The sequence below is a fragment of the Homo sapiens genome, chromosome X (genome assembly GCF_000001405.40).
Source record: "Homo sapiens chromosome X, GRCh38.p14 Primary Assembly".
Taxonomy (NCBI): Eukaryota; Metazoa; Chordata; class Mammalia; order Primates; family Hominidae; genus Homo; species Homo sapiens.
In genome coordinates this window covers 135,827,891-135,846,365 of record NC_000023.11, presented here as the reverse complement: position 1 = coordinate 135,846,365, position 18,475 = coordinate 135,827,891, and the positions used below count along the sequence as shown (strand labels likewise).

General features: G+C 42.8%; 1 protein-coding gene across 3 annotated transcripts; it reads left to right on the top strand.

Moving 5' to 3' along the window:
* Positions 1-9,046: 9,046 nt before the first annotated feature.
* Positions 9,047-17,137, top strand: CT45A7 (cancer/testis antigen family 45 member A7). Of its 3 annotated transcripts, none has more exons than XM_011531229.3 (5): positions 9,047-9,169; positions 12,827-13,001; positions 14,921-15,169; positions 15,551-15,644; positions 16,869-17,137. In XM_011531229.3, the coding sequence occupies exons 2-5, from the start codon at positions 12,833-12,835 to the stop codon at positions 16,924-16,926; spliced, it is 570 nt and encodes a 189-aa protein (XP_011529531.1). In that variant the 5' UTR covers positions 9,047-9,169; positions 12,827-12,832; the 3' UTR covers positions 16,927-17,137. The 3 variants fall into 3 exon arrangements, with proteins under 3 accessions (XP_011529531.1, NP_001381597.1, NP_001278472.1); NM_001394668.1 differs by having other exon boundaries at positions 9,086-9,324; NM_001291543.2 differs by lacking the exon at positions 9,047-9,169 and adding an exon at positions 9,287-9,341.
* Positions 17,138-18,475: the final 1,338 nt, after the last annotated feature.

Below are 18,475 nucleotides of genomic sequence, written 5' to 3'. Positions count from 1 at the left end.
GGCGTTTATAACTACCTTCTTTCGCTACCCGTTTCGCATTCCCTTTGCCCTGAGATAGCATGTCAGTTGGTCATGATGCTTGGCCTGGCAGGATGACTCAAACCTTCATTACAGAAGAGTCTGAACCATTAGATATCCTGCCTGGATGGGGTTGCTGTGATTTTCCATTAACTCTAATCGAAAAACACGGGAGGACTAAGAAGCTCTCTAGACATATCACACATACTCTTCCTTAGCCCCTGGTGTGGTGGGAACCCGATCTCAATGTTGAAATCTGTATCATCAGCCTTCAACGAAAAGGCAGAACTAATGGGAGATTTTAATGTGTGTGTGTGTGTGTGTGTGTGTGTGTGTGTGTGTGTGTGTTGGTAGGGGGTATATATACATGCACACACACACTTTCTAATCTCCCATTATACATATAATACACATTACACATATTATATATACACCCCCATATATATATATGTATGCGTGTGTGGGGGGGTATATCCAATATATATAATAAAGGTAGTTCCTAGATAGGATTGGTCTGATACAATAATTTGGAGCTGCAGTAGCAGTCCCTGTAAGGCTGTTGTTTCCAGATAGGACTTGAACATTCTATGCTTTTTATTTTTTTTAAAGACAGAATCTTGCTCTGTTGCCCAGGCTAGAGTGCGGTGACACGATCACAAGTCACTGCCACCTCGACCTCACCCCAGTTCAAGCGATCCTTGTGCTTCAGCCTTCGAAGTAGCTGGGATTACAGGTGCACCACAGGTGCCATCACGCTGCAATTTTTGTATTTTTAGTGGAGATGGGGTTTTGCCATGTTGTCCAGGCTGGTCTCGAAACCTGGCCTCAAGTGATCTGCCCATCTCAGCCTCCCAAGGTTCTAGGATTACAGGCATGAGCCACTGCACCCAGCCCATTCTATGCTTTTTTTTAAAAAATTAATTCATTCAATTATTCAACAAATATTAATTGTGCCAGGTACTTTTTTTTTATTATACTTTAAGGTTTAGGGTACATGTGCACAACGTGCAGGTTTGTTACATATGTATACATGTGCCATTTTTGTGTGCTGCACCCATTAACTCATCATTTAACATTAGGTATATCTCCTAATGCTATCCCTCCCCCCTCCCCACACCCCACAACAGGACCCAGTGTGTGATGTTCCCCTTCCTGTGTCCATGTGTTCTCATTGTTCAGTTCCCACCTATGAGGGAGAACATGCGGTGTTTGGTTTTTTGTCCTTGCGATAGTTTGCTGAGAATGATGGTTTCCAGCTTCATCCATGTCCCTACAAAGGACATGAACTCATCATTTTTCATGGCTGCATAGTATTCCATGGTGTATATGTGCCACGTTTTCTTAATCCAGTCTATCATTGTTGGACATTTGGGTTGGTTCCAAGTCTTTGCTATTGTGAATAGTGCCACAATAAACATACGTGTGCATGTGTCTTTATAGCAGCATGTTTTATAATCCTTTGGGTATATACTCAGTAATGGGATGGCTGGGTCAAATGGTATTTCTAGTTCTAGATCCCTGAGGAATCGCCACACTGACTTCCACAATGGTTGAACTAGTTTACAGTCCCACCAACAGTGTAAAAGTGTTCCTATTTGTCCACATCCTCTCCAGCACCTGTTGTTTCCTGACTTTTTAATGATTGCCATTCTAACTGGTGTGAGATGGTATCTCATTGTGGTTTTGATTTGCATTTATCTGATGGCCAGTGATGATGAGCATGTTTTCATGTGTCTGTTGGCTGCATAAATGTCTTCTTTTGAGAAGTATCTGTTCATATCCTTCGCCCGCTTGTTGATGGGGTTGTTTGTTTTTTTTCTTGTAAATTTGTTTGAGTTCGTTGTAGATTCTGGATATTAGCCCTTTGTCAGATGAGTAGACTGCAAAAATTTCCTCCCATTCTGTAGGTTGCCTGTTCACTCTGATGGTAGTTTCTTTTGCCGTGCAGAAACTCTTTAGTTTAATTAGATCCCATTTGTCAATTTTGACTTTTGTTGCCATTGCTTTTGGTGTTTTAGACATGAAGTCCTTGCCCATGCCTATGTCCTGAATGGTATTGCCTAGGTTTTCTTCTAGGGTTTTTATGGTTTTAGGTCTAACATGTAAGTCTTGAATCCATCTTGAATTAATTTTTGTATAAAGTGTAAGGAAGGGATCCCATTTCAGCTTTCTCCATATGGCTAGCCAGTTTTCCCAGCACCATTTATTAAATAGGGAATCCTTTCCCCATTTCTTGTTTTTGTCAGGTTTGTCAAAGATCAGATAGTTGTAGATATGCAGCATTATTTCTGAGGGCTCTGTTCTGTTCCATTGGTCTGTATCTCTGTTTTGATAACAGTACCATGCTGTTTTGGTTACTGTAGACTTGTAGTATAGTTTGAAGTCAGGTAGCGTGATGCCTCCAGCTTTGTTCTTTTGGCTTAGGATTGACTTGGCAATGCGGGCTCTTTTTTGGTTCCAAAATCAGTGTGCAAAAATCACAAGCATTCTTATACACCAGTAACAGACAAACAGAGAGCCAAATCATGAGTGAACTCCCATGCACAATTGCTTCAAAGATAATAAAATACCTAGGAATCCAACTTACAAGGGACGTGAAGGACCTCTTCAAGGAGAACTACAAACCAGTGCTCAATGAAATAAAAGAGGACACAAACAAATGGAACAACATTCCATGCTCATGGGTAGGAAGAATCAATATCGTGAAAATGGCCATATTGCCCAGGGTAATTTATAGATTCAATGCCATCCCCATCAAGCTACCAATGACTTTCTTCACAGAATTGGAAAAAACTACTTTAAAGTTCATACGGAACAACTTTCATTTTGGTGGAATCACTTTGGTTTCCCCTGTTGAAAAAATTCCTCAATGTGTAACTAAGTCCTCTAGTCCAGCAGAGCCAAAAGTTGGCTTCTTGGTGCACAGTTTGCTTCTTGAGCATAAGAAGCAACATTTTGTTACTAGATACCCAGGAGTAATAGTGAGAGAAGGCCCACATATTGCCTCCTTCATTCTTGAAGTCATAAATGTGGCTATGGGAGAAATAGTTCCATATACTTGAGGCTAGGATTCAGCTTTGCCACTTTCTAGATTGTCAGCCAAGCCCCACAAGGCACTGCCACAAAGCTGCAATGACAACTCAGGCTTTAAAAGGTCCTCCAATGTTCTATTGAGCCAGCCATTTCAGGATGTTGAAGAACATCACAAGACTAGTGAAGTACATTAGCATGAGCCCATTCCCATACTTCATTGCCTGTAAAGTGAGTTTGATGTTTAAAACTGGTGCAGTGTGGAATACCACGACGGTGGATACAGCCTTTCCTCATACCACAGTACCGATTTCCTTGAAGTTCCATGGGTGGGAATGAAAATCCATATGCAGAATAAGTGTCTATTTGAGGAAGATCAAAGTGATACCCCTTCAATCGTGGAAGCAGACCCAAGTAATCACAGTGCTACCTGGAAGCTGACTGACCACTCTGGGACATGGTGCCATATTGGGGACTCAGTGTTGGTCTCTGCTGCTGTCAGATTGAATAGTGAGCAGTGGCTGTAGTGAGATGGACCTGGTAAATGAAAGTTCATGTTGCCAAACCCGTAAATAAGCTTTATCTCAGCCACCATAATCATGATGCACCATTACTGCTTAGAAGATAGAGGGGTGCACCCAAGTAGGTATGGAGGGGTCTCAGGTAGCTTAGAGTGGCCTCAGCCAAGACCGCAAGTATACGGCTACCTCAGTTCCACAACTTTAAGAAGTTAGACCTGCCCGTAACCCAAATGTGCTTGAAAACAGGTTCTCTCTGAGTCCTTAGTTAGTCAGCAGCCTGGTTGATACCCTAACTTTGATTTTGTGAGATCCTAAGCAGAGAAACCAATCCAGGCTGCATGGATTTCTGATCTACAGAACTGCTTATATATTTGTGTTATTTTAAGCTGCTGAATCGGGGACAATTTCTTTTGCATTAGTAACAAACCTAATAGATGTGGTGCCTGCATATTCTGAAGTAACAAATGAAAATCAGGCATGAAGTTTTTTATTTTCTAGTCAACTGGTCTCAGGGAACTCCACATGAGATCACAGGTGCAGGATTAGGGAAGCTTCTCTTTTTCTGGGCCCCGGTCCATGCTAGCGGGGTTTCAGTCACTTGTCAATGGGTCCACGGTACTGCACAACATTTAGGTATATGCTAAAACAAGCATCTATTATGCAACTCGTTTCATGTTCCTTATTTAGTAGTAAGAAAGGCAAGATGTAAGAACTTGCTGTTCACCTTATAACCACCATCTTGACATGCCAGACTACCAGATTGTTAAACGCTTCACTCAGTTAGAAGGCCCCTGATTTTGTGTGAGAATTATTTCTCACATAATGTCTTGCAAGTGTGTTGCTACCATGTCTGGATTAGTTGCTACCTCCTTTTCAGTCAGCATGATGTCATCACTGCAAAGAATGGTGTCACATCTGGTTTAAGAGAAAGGTGGCCATTTTCCCTAAGAACTCGTTTAGGATATAAACCTAGAGAGTTGATATAAGCTTGAAATAGGAAATGATAGTACATTGCTGTCCTTTCTAGCTGAATTGAAATTCTTGTTTACGACAATTACTGAAAGAAAGCCAAACATTCACCTAATCAGTATTGTATATCAGGTTCCGAGGGATGTCACAGTTGCTGACACAACAAAACCACTTGTAGTACAGCAGCTGCAGTTGGAACAACAATTTGATTAAGTTTATGGTGCAATCTCGGCTCACTGCAACCTCCACCTCCCGGGTTCAAGCAGTTCTCTTGCCTCAGCCTCCTTGTGTAGCTGGGACTATAGAAACGCATTATCACACCTGGCTAATTGTTTGTATTTCTTAGTAGAGACAGAGTTTCACCATGTTGGCCAGGCTAGTCTCAAACTCCTGACCTCAAGTGATATGCCCACCTCAGACTCCCAAAGTGCAAGTGCGAGCCACTGCGCAGGGCCCCAGCTATTTTTTGTATTTTTGGTAGAGATGTGGTTTCGCCACTTTGGCCAGCCTCGTCTGGAACTCCTGACCTCAAGTGATCCACCCGCTTCTGCCTCCCAAATCCTGGGATTACAGGCGTGAGCCACTGTGTCCGGTGAAAACTTCACTTTTAAGTGAAACGCAGAAGCAAAATCTGATAATCAGAAAATGAGATACTGCGTGTTCTCATTCATATGTGGGAGCTAAACAATGGGTACACATGAAAATAAAGGTAGAAACCATTGACTCTGGGGACTCCAAAATGGAGGTAGAGGGGAGGGAGGGAGCGGGTCGGAGGGTTGAAAAACTACCTATTGGATACTCTCTTCACTATTTGGGTGATGAGTTCACTAGAAGCCCAAACCCCGGCACTGTGCAATTATATCCAAGCGAGAAATCTGTACATGTACCCTTCTGGCATCTATAATTTTAAAAAAGCTAACAAAGAAAGCTTCAGTTTTAAATCTTAACCAAATACACAGGAAAAGGATTACTATACTTGGACACCTTTACAGGTTTCTATGTTAGTTTTTGGTATTAAAGCAGAAACCTGTTCCTCGACCACTTTATTAATTGTATGTCCTCTTTGTACAAACATCGGAAATAGAAGACTGTCACTTTTGGTTCTGTAACTGTCTTGACTGCAGTCTTCTACAGCTTTCACAGAGTTAATGGTCCCTAGTATCTGCCATTCTCCAATTGCCCTGGGTGGCGAAATCGCTGCCATAGTAAACTTTTCACTGATAATTAGAGTTTCTGGAAACATGCAGGGCTCGTTATTTAAGAGTGACTCCATTTGGGCATTTTGGTGGATGGCCTACAGGTTTTCTTGCAGAGTATACTAGAGTCTCCAGAATGAATAACCCTAGGAACTTGAGGAACTAGCGCTTTCCAGAATTTTGGAAGCTGAGATACAAACATTGGTTTTCTCAAAAGCACTGCAAGTGGGAAGGAAAATCCATATCTAGACTAAATGTCTGTTCAGGTAAGAAGAAAGCACTTCTCTTTTTATAATAGAAGTGATCTATTGTAATCCACATACCAACTAGTGGCTGGCAGATCATTCTGGAGTCTGGTGCCAAATTGGGGGCTTAGTGTTGGTCTCCATTCCTGGAAGATTTTTCACTCAGCAATGACCGTAGCCAGGTTTGCCATGGTGAGTGGAGGTCCATGCTACTGCGCATAATCTCCAACCCTGCCAGTTTGACCACTTTGTTTGTTGAGCCGGTAAGATTGTGACACACGTGTTAGGGAAAGAGGCTGATTAATACCTAGATAATAAGTACCTTATCCATCTGATTATTAAAATTCTGCTCTGCTGAGGATACCCTTTGCTGAGAACTCTCATGAGACCCCAATATCTTCACATTGTATGTCCGTTTGGACAGGCCTGTCCACATATTTTTTTTTTCTCAGACTTCTTTGTCGCACATTTTTAATCGTGTGTTCTCAAAGTCCCTGACAATTCAGCGAATGAGTGGGACACAGCCTATGCATGATACATACTTACACGTCTGGATATGCCTCCTCCAAGAAGGTGCACTGCTCAAAGTTCTTCCCTCTGGGAGGATTTCCCTTCATCACTGTCCTTCAGGGCTGTCCCAGTCAGGACTGTCGTATGCAGCTGTCCACCTGTGGCTTGTGTGGTAGGCAGGATTCTAATTAAGCCCCAACAAGATTCCAGTCTCATGGTTATTCAATCAAATACTCCTATGAGTACTGCTCTGGTGGGATTTTTTTAATGCAAAAAATGAGTATTTTATTTTGATAGCACTAGAGGAAACAAACAAAACAACTGTTCCTACATCAAAGTGAAAACAATGTTTAAGCTTTCCTATCAATCAAATATATTCCAAAAGAAAATGTGTTCTATGAAGGTTCTGAAGCACAGGCAAATATTAACACAATAGGCTAAGAAGCTGTAATACTGAATATGACTCTCTTCTAACAGGGTACTTAACAAACATAATTTTTAATTTTAATTTTAATTAATTAATTTATTTTGAGACGGACTCTCCCTTTGTCCCCCAGTGACAATGGATCTCTGCCCCTTTGGAGTGCAGTGACGCGATCTCTGCTCACTGAAGCTTGCACCTCTCAGGTTCAAGTGATTCTCCTGCCTCTGCTGCCCTAGTAGCAGGGAGTACAGGTGCCCACCACCATGCCTGGCTATATTTTTTAATTTTAATTTTAAGTTTTTTACAAACATAACTTTTGAATTACAAAACCAGTGAAGTAATCCCTTCCAAATAATTGTGTCAATAGTGAAACTGCCTGTTCCATTAAAACTCGAAAAATTTCGCTGTAATATTTTTTACCACTATGGACAATTCAAGTAAATTTTGCTGCACTTAAAATAAGTTGTGAAAGTAGAAAAATGGGCCGGGCATGGTGGCTCTCCCCTGTAATCCCAGGACTTTGGGAGGCCAAGGCAGATGAATCACTTAAAGTCAGGAGTTTGAGACCAGCCTGGAGAACATTGTGAAACACCGTCTCTGCTAAAAATACAAATACCAGCCGGGCATGGTGGTACATGCCTGTAATCCCAGCTTCTCGGGAGGCTGAGGAAGGAGAACTGCTTGAACCTGGGAGGCGGAGGTTGCAGTGAGCCAAGATCATGCCACTGCACTCCAGCCTGGGTGACAGAGCCAGACTGTCTCAAAAAAAATAAAAAAGGTGGAAAAATATACAAAGTTCCAGATTAAAATGATTAATAGATGCAATATAATAAGGTTTCCCCTCCTTCCATCCTTTCTTTCTTTCTCTCTTTCTTTCTTCCTTTCTTCCCTTCTTTCTTCCATCCTTCCTTTCTTCCTTTCTTCCCTTCTTTCTTCCATCCTTCCTTTCTTCCTTCCTTTCTTTCTTTCGTTCTTTCTTTCCTTCCTTCCTTCTTTTTTCTTTCTCTTTCTTTCTTTCTTTCTCTCTTTCTTTTTTTTTGTAGACAGTCTTACTCTGTCACCCAGGCTATAGTGCAATGGTGCGAACAAAGGTCAATGCAGCCTCAACCTCCTGGTGTCAAGCCTCCCGAGCAGCTGGGACCACAGTTACACGCTCAGCTAATTTTTGTATTTTGTGTTAAGATGGGGTTTCACCATGCTGCCCAGGCTGCTCTTGAACTCCTGGGCTCAAGGAATCCACCCCTCTTGGTCTCCCAAATTGCTGGGATTACAGACGTGAGCGACCGCACTGGGGCCCTCATTTTTCTTATCAATTAACAATAATGGTTACCTTTAACAGATAGAGGTTGACTTTATTTATTGATTGATTGATTTTTATTTTTAGACAGAGTCTCACTCTGTTACCCAGGCTGGAGTGCAGTGGCATGATCTCAGCTCACTGCAAATTCTGCCTGCCCGGTTCAAGCGATTCTCCAGCCTCAGCCTCCCAAGTAGCTGGTGGGATTATAGGTGCATGCCACCACGCCCGGTAATTTTCTGTATTTTTAGCAGAGACGGGATTCACCATGTTGGTCAGACAGACTGGTCTCGAACTCCTGACCTCAGGTGGTCCAGCCCCTTCGGCCTCCCAAAGTGTTGAGATTACAGGCGTGAGCCACTGTGGCGGGTCGGGGTTGACTTTAAAACACAACCCCCTCAAATGAAAATTGCAGTTTGTTGTTGTTCTTTTTCTTTTTCTTTTCTTTTCCTTCTTTCTTTCTTTTTTTTTTTTTTTCTGAGATGGGGTCTCCTCTACCGCCTGGGCTGGAGTGCAGTGGCTCACTGCTACCTCCACCTCCCGGGTTCAAGCCATCCTCCCACCTCAACTTCCCGAGTAGTTGGGACCACAGGTGCGAGGCCACTAGGCCCAGCTAATTTGTGTGTTTCTTTCTTTCTTTCTTTCTTTTTTGATTAGTTGGTTGCTTTGTAGAGCCGGGGTCTCACTATGTTACCCAGGCGATTTCATCCCGCTGGGTGAGAAGGTTCTGCATTCCTCCGCATACGTTGCTGTGCAGTTGTTACTGAAGGTCGCCTGTAGAGGGCGCCAGAGTCAGCGAAGGGGAGGGCTGCGCTTCCTGGTTCTCTGGGGCACGAGGCTTCTCCTCAGCACTCTGGCGCCCCCAACAGGTTCCCAGTGTTCGGCTGGGGCAGGCACGCTGTGGCTGGCTACTTCCCTTCCTCCCATCCCCCTTGGGCCAAACGGGATCGGTGCTTCTGGTGAGACGCCTCCCCATGCACATCACTCCCAGGTGCCCTAGGGGGCACATTTCCCACAACTCCCAGAGGGCAGGTTTCTAGAAAGTGCCACCAGTGGGGAGGCGCCACAACTTCACTGCCATTTTGTGAGGTGCCGCCGTCTCTCCTCCAGCAAGGTCAGGACTTCAGGACTGTGAGTGGGCAGTTTTTCCCTGGATGCTTTAATTTCGCCCTGGAAAGTGTCCTTTTTCCTCAGAAAGAGTCTTTTCTGTGGTGTTCTCTGTCCGGTGTGTGGGAGGGCTCCCTTGGGGAAGTGGCTTAGCTCTGGGGACACCGCCATGGGCGCCTGTGTCAGCCGCGGGGGAGCGTTTTCCTTGGGCACCCCGTCTCGGCTATGTTGTGGGGCCAGGGGGCTTTTCTTGGGGGCTCTTGTTGGGGGCTCCCTGTCGGTGATGGAAAAGGCGACTTTTCCTGCTGAAATGACCTGAGCCCGGGGGGTGGGGGCCATGCCTTGGTTGCCTGTGTCGGCCTCGGGTGCGGCGGTGTTTCTTTCCCGCTCAGTCGCTGTCCTGAGGGGGGACTCTGCCCTGGGGTCACTATCTGTGCTCATGGAACGTGGTGGGGGTGGCTGTGCCCCGGACACATGATCGTAGCCCTGTGGGGTCACTGTCGGGGGCTTTATCTCAACCTCTGGTGGACTCTTCCTTGGGTACTGATGTCGGCCGTGAGGCGCATTTGTCCTCGGATGTTGCTCGCTCTCAGTTACAATGTGTTGGCTTTTCTTTGGTTCTGCTTATCCCCGTTGTGGACGCTTACTGGATGCTTTCTCTTGGTGCTGGGTTTTTAAAATTATTATCTGTAGGTGCTCTCTCCCGGTGCCGCCGGGGAGTGGGGTAATGTTCCTTGGATTCTCTAAGCCTATGGTGGGACTCAGGGAGCTCTGTGTCAGCCATGAAGGAGGCCACGTGACCTTGGGAACTCTGTCTCGACCCAGGTTGGGGTGCTTTTCCTCGGTTGGTTGATCGCAATTCTGAAGGAGCTCTTTCCTGGGATTCTATCTGACCTTTCAGCCACAGCCTCAGGTGTCTGTGTGGGAATGGGAGTCCAGAAATATTCGAAGGTTCCAGCTGTGCCACATTCGAACACTCGCAGTACAGTTAGTCTTTCATTCCAGCCACTCTGATGGGTGTGCAGTGATCTCTCCTTGTGTCTACACTCGCATTTCTCTGCTGATTAATGAGATCGAGCACCTTTTTAAGAAATTGTTTTTATTTATTGATTTTTGTTTGTCTTTTGAGATGAGGTCTCCCTCTGTCACCCAGACTGGATTGCAGTGCCACCACACCCAGCTATTTATTGTTTTCTTTTTTTTTTTTTTTAGCACCATTTTATGTGTTTATTGGTCATTTAACTATGCCTTTTATGAAGTTCCTTTTCAGGTATTTTCCCCCAGCTTTTACTGAGATGTTTGTATTTTAAAAATGGATTTGTAGTTTCCATATATTCTGTATTTGAGTTATACGCACAGGCACACAGGCGTATATGTACATATACAAAAATACATATACAATTTTAGTATCTTCTATAAATCTTTTTTGCTTTTACACGATCTCAATAATGTGTTGTAGATGAACAGATTCTCTTAATTTTATTAATTAGTGTATTATTTATGGATAGTGCTTTTTATTATTTTAAGAAACATCTTTGACTCACCCAATGCCATTACGATAATATTCCTTTTCTTAAAATTATACTTTAAGTTCCGGGATACATGGGCAGAACGTGCAGGTTTGTTACATAGGAAGACACATGCCATGGTTGTTTGCTGCACCCATTGACCCGTCATCTACCTTAGGTATTTCTCTAATGCTATCCCTCCCCTAGCCCCCCAACCCCTGACAGGCCCCACTGTGTGATGTTCTTCTCCCCGCGTCCATGTGTTCTCATTGTTCAACTCCCACTTATGAGTGAGGACACGTGGTGTTTGGTTTTCTGTTCCTGTGTTAGCTTGCTGACACATGTCCCTTCAAAGGACATGAACTCATTCTTTTTTATGGCTGCATAGTATTCCGTGGTGTATATGTACCACATTTTCTTTATCCAGCGTCGTGGCAGGCGCCCGTAATCGCAGCTACTCAGGAGGCTGAGGCAGGAGAATTGCTTGAACCTGGGAAGTGGAGGTTGCAGTGAGCAGAGACTGTGCCACTCCACTGCAGCCTGGGTGACAGAGCGAGGCTCCGACTCAAAAAAAAAAAAAAAAATGTCTTCCAATGCATGGAAAGAAAATTTTTCTCCATTTACTGCAGTCTTGAATTTCTCTGAGTGATGTTTTATAATTTTTGTGAAGTACTCTAGCACATCTTGATTAGATTTATTCCTAAATATTTGATGTTTTTGGAACTGTTTTTAATGACATTTGAAATCTCATATTCTAATTATTCGTTATACAGAATTGCCATTCTGTATAATGCCATTCATTATACAGAATTGCTATTCATTATACAGAAATGCCATTGGTTTTCATTGTATCTAGTAAGTTGACTAAATTTGCTTATTAACTGTAATGATTTTATTCTTCTGCATTTTTCTATGTACAGAACAATGTCATCTGTGAATAATGACAGTTTTATTTCTTTCCAAATTTTAAACCTATTGTATTTTCCTGATGATATGGCACTTTTTGGAACCTCCAGTAAATTGTTGAATGGATAGTGGACATCTTTGTCTTGTTTTCAAACTCAGGGAGAAAATACTGATACGTCACTATGAAGTATGGCATTTAAAAATTTTTTGTACATATGCTAACCAGAATAGGAAAGTTGCCCTTTTTCCTAAGTTGGTGATAGGTTTTATCACGAATGGACTTTAAACATTGATCCATGTATGAAAATGATCATGCGGTGTTTCCCTGTTTTTGTTGTTGTTGTTGTTGTTGTTGTTAATGTGGTGCACTACATTTGTCGATTTTCAAATGTTAAATCAGTGTTGCCTTTCTGCAATATACTCCACCATGGCTGATGTATGTCCTTTTTAAGTACTAGTACATTTTATTTGCTCACCCTTAGTTTGGAATTTTTGTGTCTAAGTTCGGGGTGATCTTGGCTTGTATTTTTGGCTTGATCTTGTAGTTTTTCATTCTTCTAAATTCCTTGTCAGATGTTGTTATCAGTTTTGTATCAATCTTCTAATAAGGGTTCCTAATAAGGGTTAATACACGTTGGTTTATGCATCTATTTGAATATATAAGCATAAATACTTATATATTAAATATATATGATATATAATATATAATTTAAAATATAATGTATAATAAGGGTTAATACAGATTGGTTTATACATCCATTTTTTCTAATAAGGGTTAATACAGATTGGCTTATACATCTTCAAATAGGTAATAATATTTTTATCTATTTTTGGTTGATGACAGCTGCTTATTCCACAAGCATTCTGATTGATTTGGTTATACCATCTTTCTTCTGTTTTACTTTGTGTACATTAAAATTAGGTTTCTTTTCCTGAGAACAGAGTGTTTGTTGAGACTTGGTAAATCTTGGCTCATGATTAAAAGTGAAATTAATGATTCAAAGTCTTGGTTGTATACACATATGCAGATTGCTTGCCATTTTGTGATTGTTAGATTTTTGTCATGAATAGAATATATTCATTGATGTTTTTCAGGAAACAATGACCGATAAAACAGAGAAGGTGGCTGTAGATCCTGAAACTGTGTTTAAACGTCCCAGGGAATGTGACAGTCCTTCGTATCAGAAAAGGCAGAGGATGGCCCTGTTGGCAAGGAAACAAGGAGCAGGAGACAGCCTTATTGCAGGCTCTGCCATGTCCAAAGAAAAGAGTAAGTAAGCCTGTCCTCACGTCCTCCTCATGCTCCTGCCTCATCCCCTCCAGAGAAACTGTCCTTGTCAAGGTTAACAGTTTCGGCTGACATTGCCATTAACTTCTCAGCAGCATTTGACAGTTGTTCACTCGCTTCTTCATGAAAACCTTCTAGGATTTCCATTTCCGACAATCTTTTTTTTTTTTTTAATTTCTTGTCCGTATTGGTGAATCCCTATCATTTTTTTCTTGAGATGGAGTTTCGCTCTTCTCAGCCAGGCTGGAGTGCAGTGGCGCGATCTCGGCTCACTGAAATCTCCGTCTCCTGGGTTCAAGTGATTCTTCTGCCGCAGCCTCCCGAGTAGCGGGATTACAAGCACCAGCCACCACACCCAGCTAATTTTTGTAAGTTTAGTAGAGATGGGGTTTCGCCATGTCGGCCAGGCTGGTCTGGAACTCCCCCCCTCAGGTGATCCACCCACCTCAGCCTCCCAAAGTGCTGGGATTACACGCACGAGCCACCGCCCCCGACCCCATCATTGTTTTTTTCTACATTTCTTTTTCTTCTCTTCTCTAAATACTGTAAAAAATTCCTGAACCCCAGCATCTCTCTCTCTCCTTCTATTCCACTCTGCCACGATCAATCACTGAGCTCCTGAGATACCTCCATGTTTCCCATTATTTCCCGCATCAAACACATACCCTCCAACCCTGCAGCCGGGTCATGATGTTGGCATGTAAATCACGTGATGCCATGTCGCTCCTGAACACCCATCCTCAACACTCCTAAGCACTCAGAACCGACTGCGAAGCAGCTTTGGTCTGCGAGGTTCTGCGTGGCCTGGCCTCCGTCACCCTCTCCTCACACGGGCCCCATCATCTCCTGACTCTCTCTGCTACTGTCCTTCACCCCATAGTGCCCGGTCCATCCCCACTCCAGCCCATATCCTTGGCCTCACCGCAACCTGGAACTCCCCCTCTGCCTCTGCGCAGGCAGCTCTGCTTTTTCCTTCAAGCCCTGCCCAAGGGTACCTCCACAGAAGGCTCTGCCCAACCAGCAGCAGCTCCTGGGGCTCCCTCTGCTGCTGTTGCCCACAGGCCTGTGGACTGCTTCCTTACCACTAGCCCAACACTGTATGTTTCATTTGCTCATTGTGCACGTACTGTCTGACCGCCCCATGAGGATGTGAGCTCCACAAGGGCAGGGAACGTTGCTCTCTGGGCTGTTTACTGCTGATCCCCAGCTACCGGCACGCTGCCTGCCACAGACGATGAATAAATGAGAGGTGTCAGACCTGGAGTGAAAAGAAAGTCACTTTTGTGAGAAAGAAAGGAAGGATGAGGAAAATCATACAGTAAAAGGGACTTTTTGGTGGTGGAGTGCGTATAGAACTTTTAGCAGTAATGGCCGCCTCTATTTTCTCAGAATGTGTTTGATATAACAGGAGACCGGTTGAGTTGTATCCCAGTTGCCTGGGTTCCAGCTCAGTAAAGCATGGCAGTTTGTAAGTGAATTTGAGAAATCATGATATCAAGTGAGACTTGCTGCTTTCAACTTGTAAAGCATAACAAGCTGAAACTGTCCCATGAGTACCAGGGATCTGTGAATGTTGCTTTAGAGTTGTACTGCCTTACTTGGTTTCCATGTCTATTCATAGGGCCAGAAAATAAGAGGTGGTTTTATTGTATTATGTGTCCTGGCCTCCGTTTGTCAGGCCTGGGATTTCTCCCTGGTGTATCCTCCCATTTATGAAATAAATAATTCCCTAGAAACTGAGGAGCACATAGATGTACCCAGAGGGGTGATGAAACACACATATCTCACAGCTCAGCTTCTCAGTTTGATTTCCAGAGCTGTCATTCATGAGGTCTATGTGGAGGGGAAAGAAAGTGGTCAAACACCAACTGATGGCTTTTACTCAAAATCTGTTTCACCAGAGCTTATGACAGGACATGCTATTCCACCCAGCCAATTGGATTCTCAGATTGATGACTTCACTGGTTTCAGCAAAGATGGGATGATGCAGAAACCTGGTAGCAATGCACCTGTGGGAGGAAACGTTACCAGCAGTTTCTCTGGAGATGACCTAGAATGCAGAGAAACAGCCTCCTCTCCCAAAAGCCAACGAGAAATTAATGCTGATATAAAACGTAAATTAGTGAAGGAACTCCGATGCGTTGGACAAAGTAAGTAATATAAGAATGTCTGTTTTATAAAACTATAGGAAGTCTCTCTTTCTATGATTCAGAAGATATTCATGTTGCCTGTTGAGTTTCATTCTTTGCCAGAGTTGAGATTGCACATAATTTATGGTGGTTCCTCTTTTCTTTGACTAAAGCATGTACATTTTTTCTTTTTCTTTTCTTACTTGGTTATGGTTAAAGGAGTTACATTCGTATGTATGTGCAGGTGTCTTTTTTATTATTTAGGTTTTGTATGTGCAGGTATCTTGATTTAAGCATTTAAAACATTTCAGCCTCTGAAGCATGATTGCTGAGGTGTAGATTCACTTCTATTCTTCTTTATATTTGATAATACTGAAGTTTTTTTTTTTTCAACATCTTCAGAATATGAAAAAATCTTCGAAATGCTTGAAGGAGTGCAAGGACCTACTGCAGTCAGGAAGCGATTTTTTGAATCCATCATCAAGGAAGCAGCAAGGTGGGTAGAAATAGGAACTGTCCAATTTCTTTAAGCACTTGGGCTCAATAGAGCACTGGGGGTGAGCGTTGGGGAACAGCCCCTGCCTTGCGTTTCTCAAACCCTGGTCCTCACTCACAGTTATGGCTGTCTCCACAGTTACTTAGGCTAATGTTATCTGAGTGTAACTCATTCTTCGAAGACTATGGAGACTTCCATTTTCACCATAGTCTGAGGTGCGCATTGTCCCTCAATTGACACTCTTTGTATTTGCTAGACTACCTCTTTTTAAAAAATTTGTGTAGGCACATAGCAGATGCATATATTTCTGGGCTATATGAGATATTGTGATACAGACAACAATGTGTAATAATCACATCAAGGTAAGTGGGGTTTCTATCACCTCAAGCTTTTATCCTTTGCGTTACAGAGAATACAATTATACTCTTCATTATTTTTAAATGTGCAATTAAATTATTACCGACTATAGTCACCCTGTTTGGCTATGAAATACGACATCTTATTTATTCCATACTTCTACGTATTAATCATCCCCACTTCCCACACCCTCCACCCCCACTAACCTTTGTAGCCTCTGGTAACTGTCATTCTACTCTCTATCTCCATTAGTTCAGTTGTTTTACACTTTTACTCCCAAAAATAAGTGAGAACATGTGAAGTTTGTCTTTCTGTGCCTGGCTTATTTCACTTAACATAAGGACCTTCGGTTCTATCCGTGTTGTTGCAAATGACTGAATCTCATTCTTTTTTTTATGGCTAAACAGTACTCTGTGGTGTATATGTACCATATTTTCTTTACCCATTCATGTGTTAGTGGACACTTAGGTTGCTTCCAAATCTTGGCTACTGTGGATGGTGCTGCAACAAACATGGGAGTGCAGATATCTGTTCGGTACACTGACTTCCTTTCTCTTGGGTATATACCCAGCAGTGGGATTGCTGGATCATATGATAGCTCCATTTTTAGTTGTTTGAGGAACCTCCAAACTGTTCTTCATAGTTAGTTGTTGTAGTAATTTATATTCTCACCAACAGTGTATGAAGGTTCCCTTTTCTCCACACCCTTGCCAGCATTTGTTATGCCGGCTAGACTGCCTCTTACCATGCAGATACATTTCTATTTCCATGCTGACTGTTACTTCATCTTTCTATCTGTCACAGCGCTTCCTACAGCATAGGTTCTTTGGCTATCTTTTGGTTAATGACATGTCTCTTTCTCTTCAGATGTATGAGACGAGACTTTGTTAAGCACCTTAAGAAGAAACTGAAACGTATGATTTGAGAATACTTGTCCCTGGAGGATTATCACACCCCAAATGCATAATCTCGTTAATGATTGAGGAGAGAAAAGGATCAGATTGCTGTTTTCTACAATGGAGCAGGATATTGCTGAAGTCTCCTGGCATATGTTACCGAATCAACTGGCCTTCCAGAGGCTAAGAAATTTCTGTTAGTAAAAGATGTTCTTTTTCCCAAAGCGTTTTATTTGAAAGGATAACTTGTGTTTTGGTTATTTTGTATTCCCACCTGTGCTGGTAGATATTATTAACCCATTAGGTAAATACTATTACAGTCGTGGTTTCTGCAGCAGCTCACACTGATGTAGCTGGCGTTTATAACTACCTTCTTTCGCTACCCGTTTCGCATTCCCTTTGCCCTGAGATAGCATGTCAGTTGGTCATGATGCTTGGCCTGGCAGGATGACTCAAACCTTCATTACGGAAGAGTCTGAACCATTAGATATCCTGCCTGGATGGGGTTGCTGTGATTTTCCATTAACTCTAATCGAAAAACACGGGAGGACTAAGAAGCTCTCTAGACATATCACACATACTCTTCCTTAGCCCCTCGTGTGGTGGGAACCCGATCTCAATGTTGAAATCTGTATCATCAGCCTTCAACGAAAAGGCAGAACTAATGGGAGATTTTAATGTGTGTGTGTGTGTGTGTGTGTGTGTGTGTGTGTGTGTGTGTGTGTTGGTAGGGGGTATATATACATGCACACACACACTTTCTAATCTCCCATTATACATATAATACACATTACACATATTATATATACACCCCCATATATATATATGTATGCGTGTGTGGGGGGGTATATCCAATATATATAATAAAGGTAGTTCCTAGATAGGATTGGTCTGATACAATAATTTGGAGCTGCAGTAGCAGTCCCTGTAAGGCTGTTGTTTCCAGATACGACTTGAACGTTCTATGCTTTTTATTTTTTTTAAAGACAGAATCTTGCTCTGTTGCCCAGGCTAGAGTGCGGTGACACGATCACAAGTCACTGCCACCTCGACCTCACCCCAGTTCAAGCGATCCTTGTGCTTCAGCCTTCGAAGTAGCTGGGATTACAGGTGCACCACAGGTGCCATCACGCTGCAATTTTTGTATTTTTAGTGGAGATGGGGTTTTGCCATGTTGTCCAGGCTGGTCTCGAAACCTGGCCTCAAGTGATCTGCCCATCTCAGCCTCCCAAGGTTCTAGGATTACAGGCATGAGCCACTGCACCCAGCCCATTCTATGCTTTTTTTAAAAAAATTAATTCATTCAATTATTCAACAAATATTAATTGTGCCAGGTACTTTTTTTTATTATACTTTAAGGTTTAGGGTACATGTGCACAACGTGCAGGTTTGTTACATATGTATACATGTGCCATTTTTGTGTGCTGCACCCATTAACTCATCATTTAACATTAGGTATATCTCCTAATGCTATCCCTCCCCCCTCCCCACACCCCACAACAGGACCCAGTGTGTGATGTTCCCCTTCCTGTGTCCATGTGTTCTCATTGTTCAGTTCCCACCTATGAGGGAGAACAT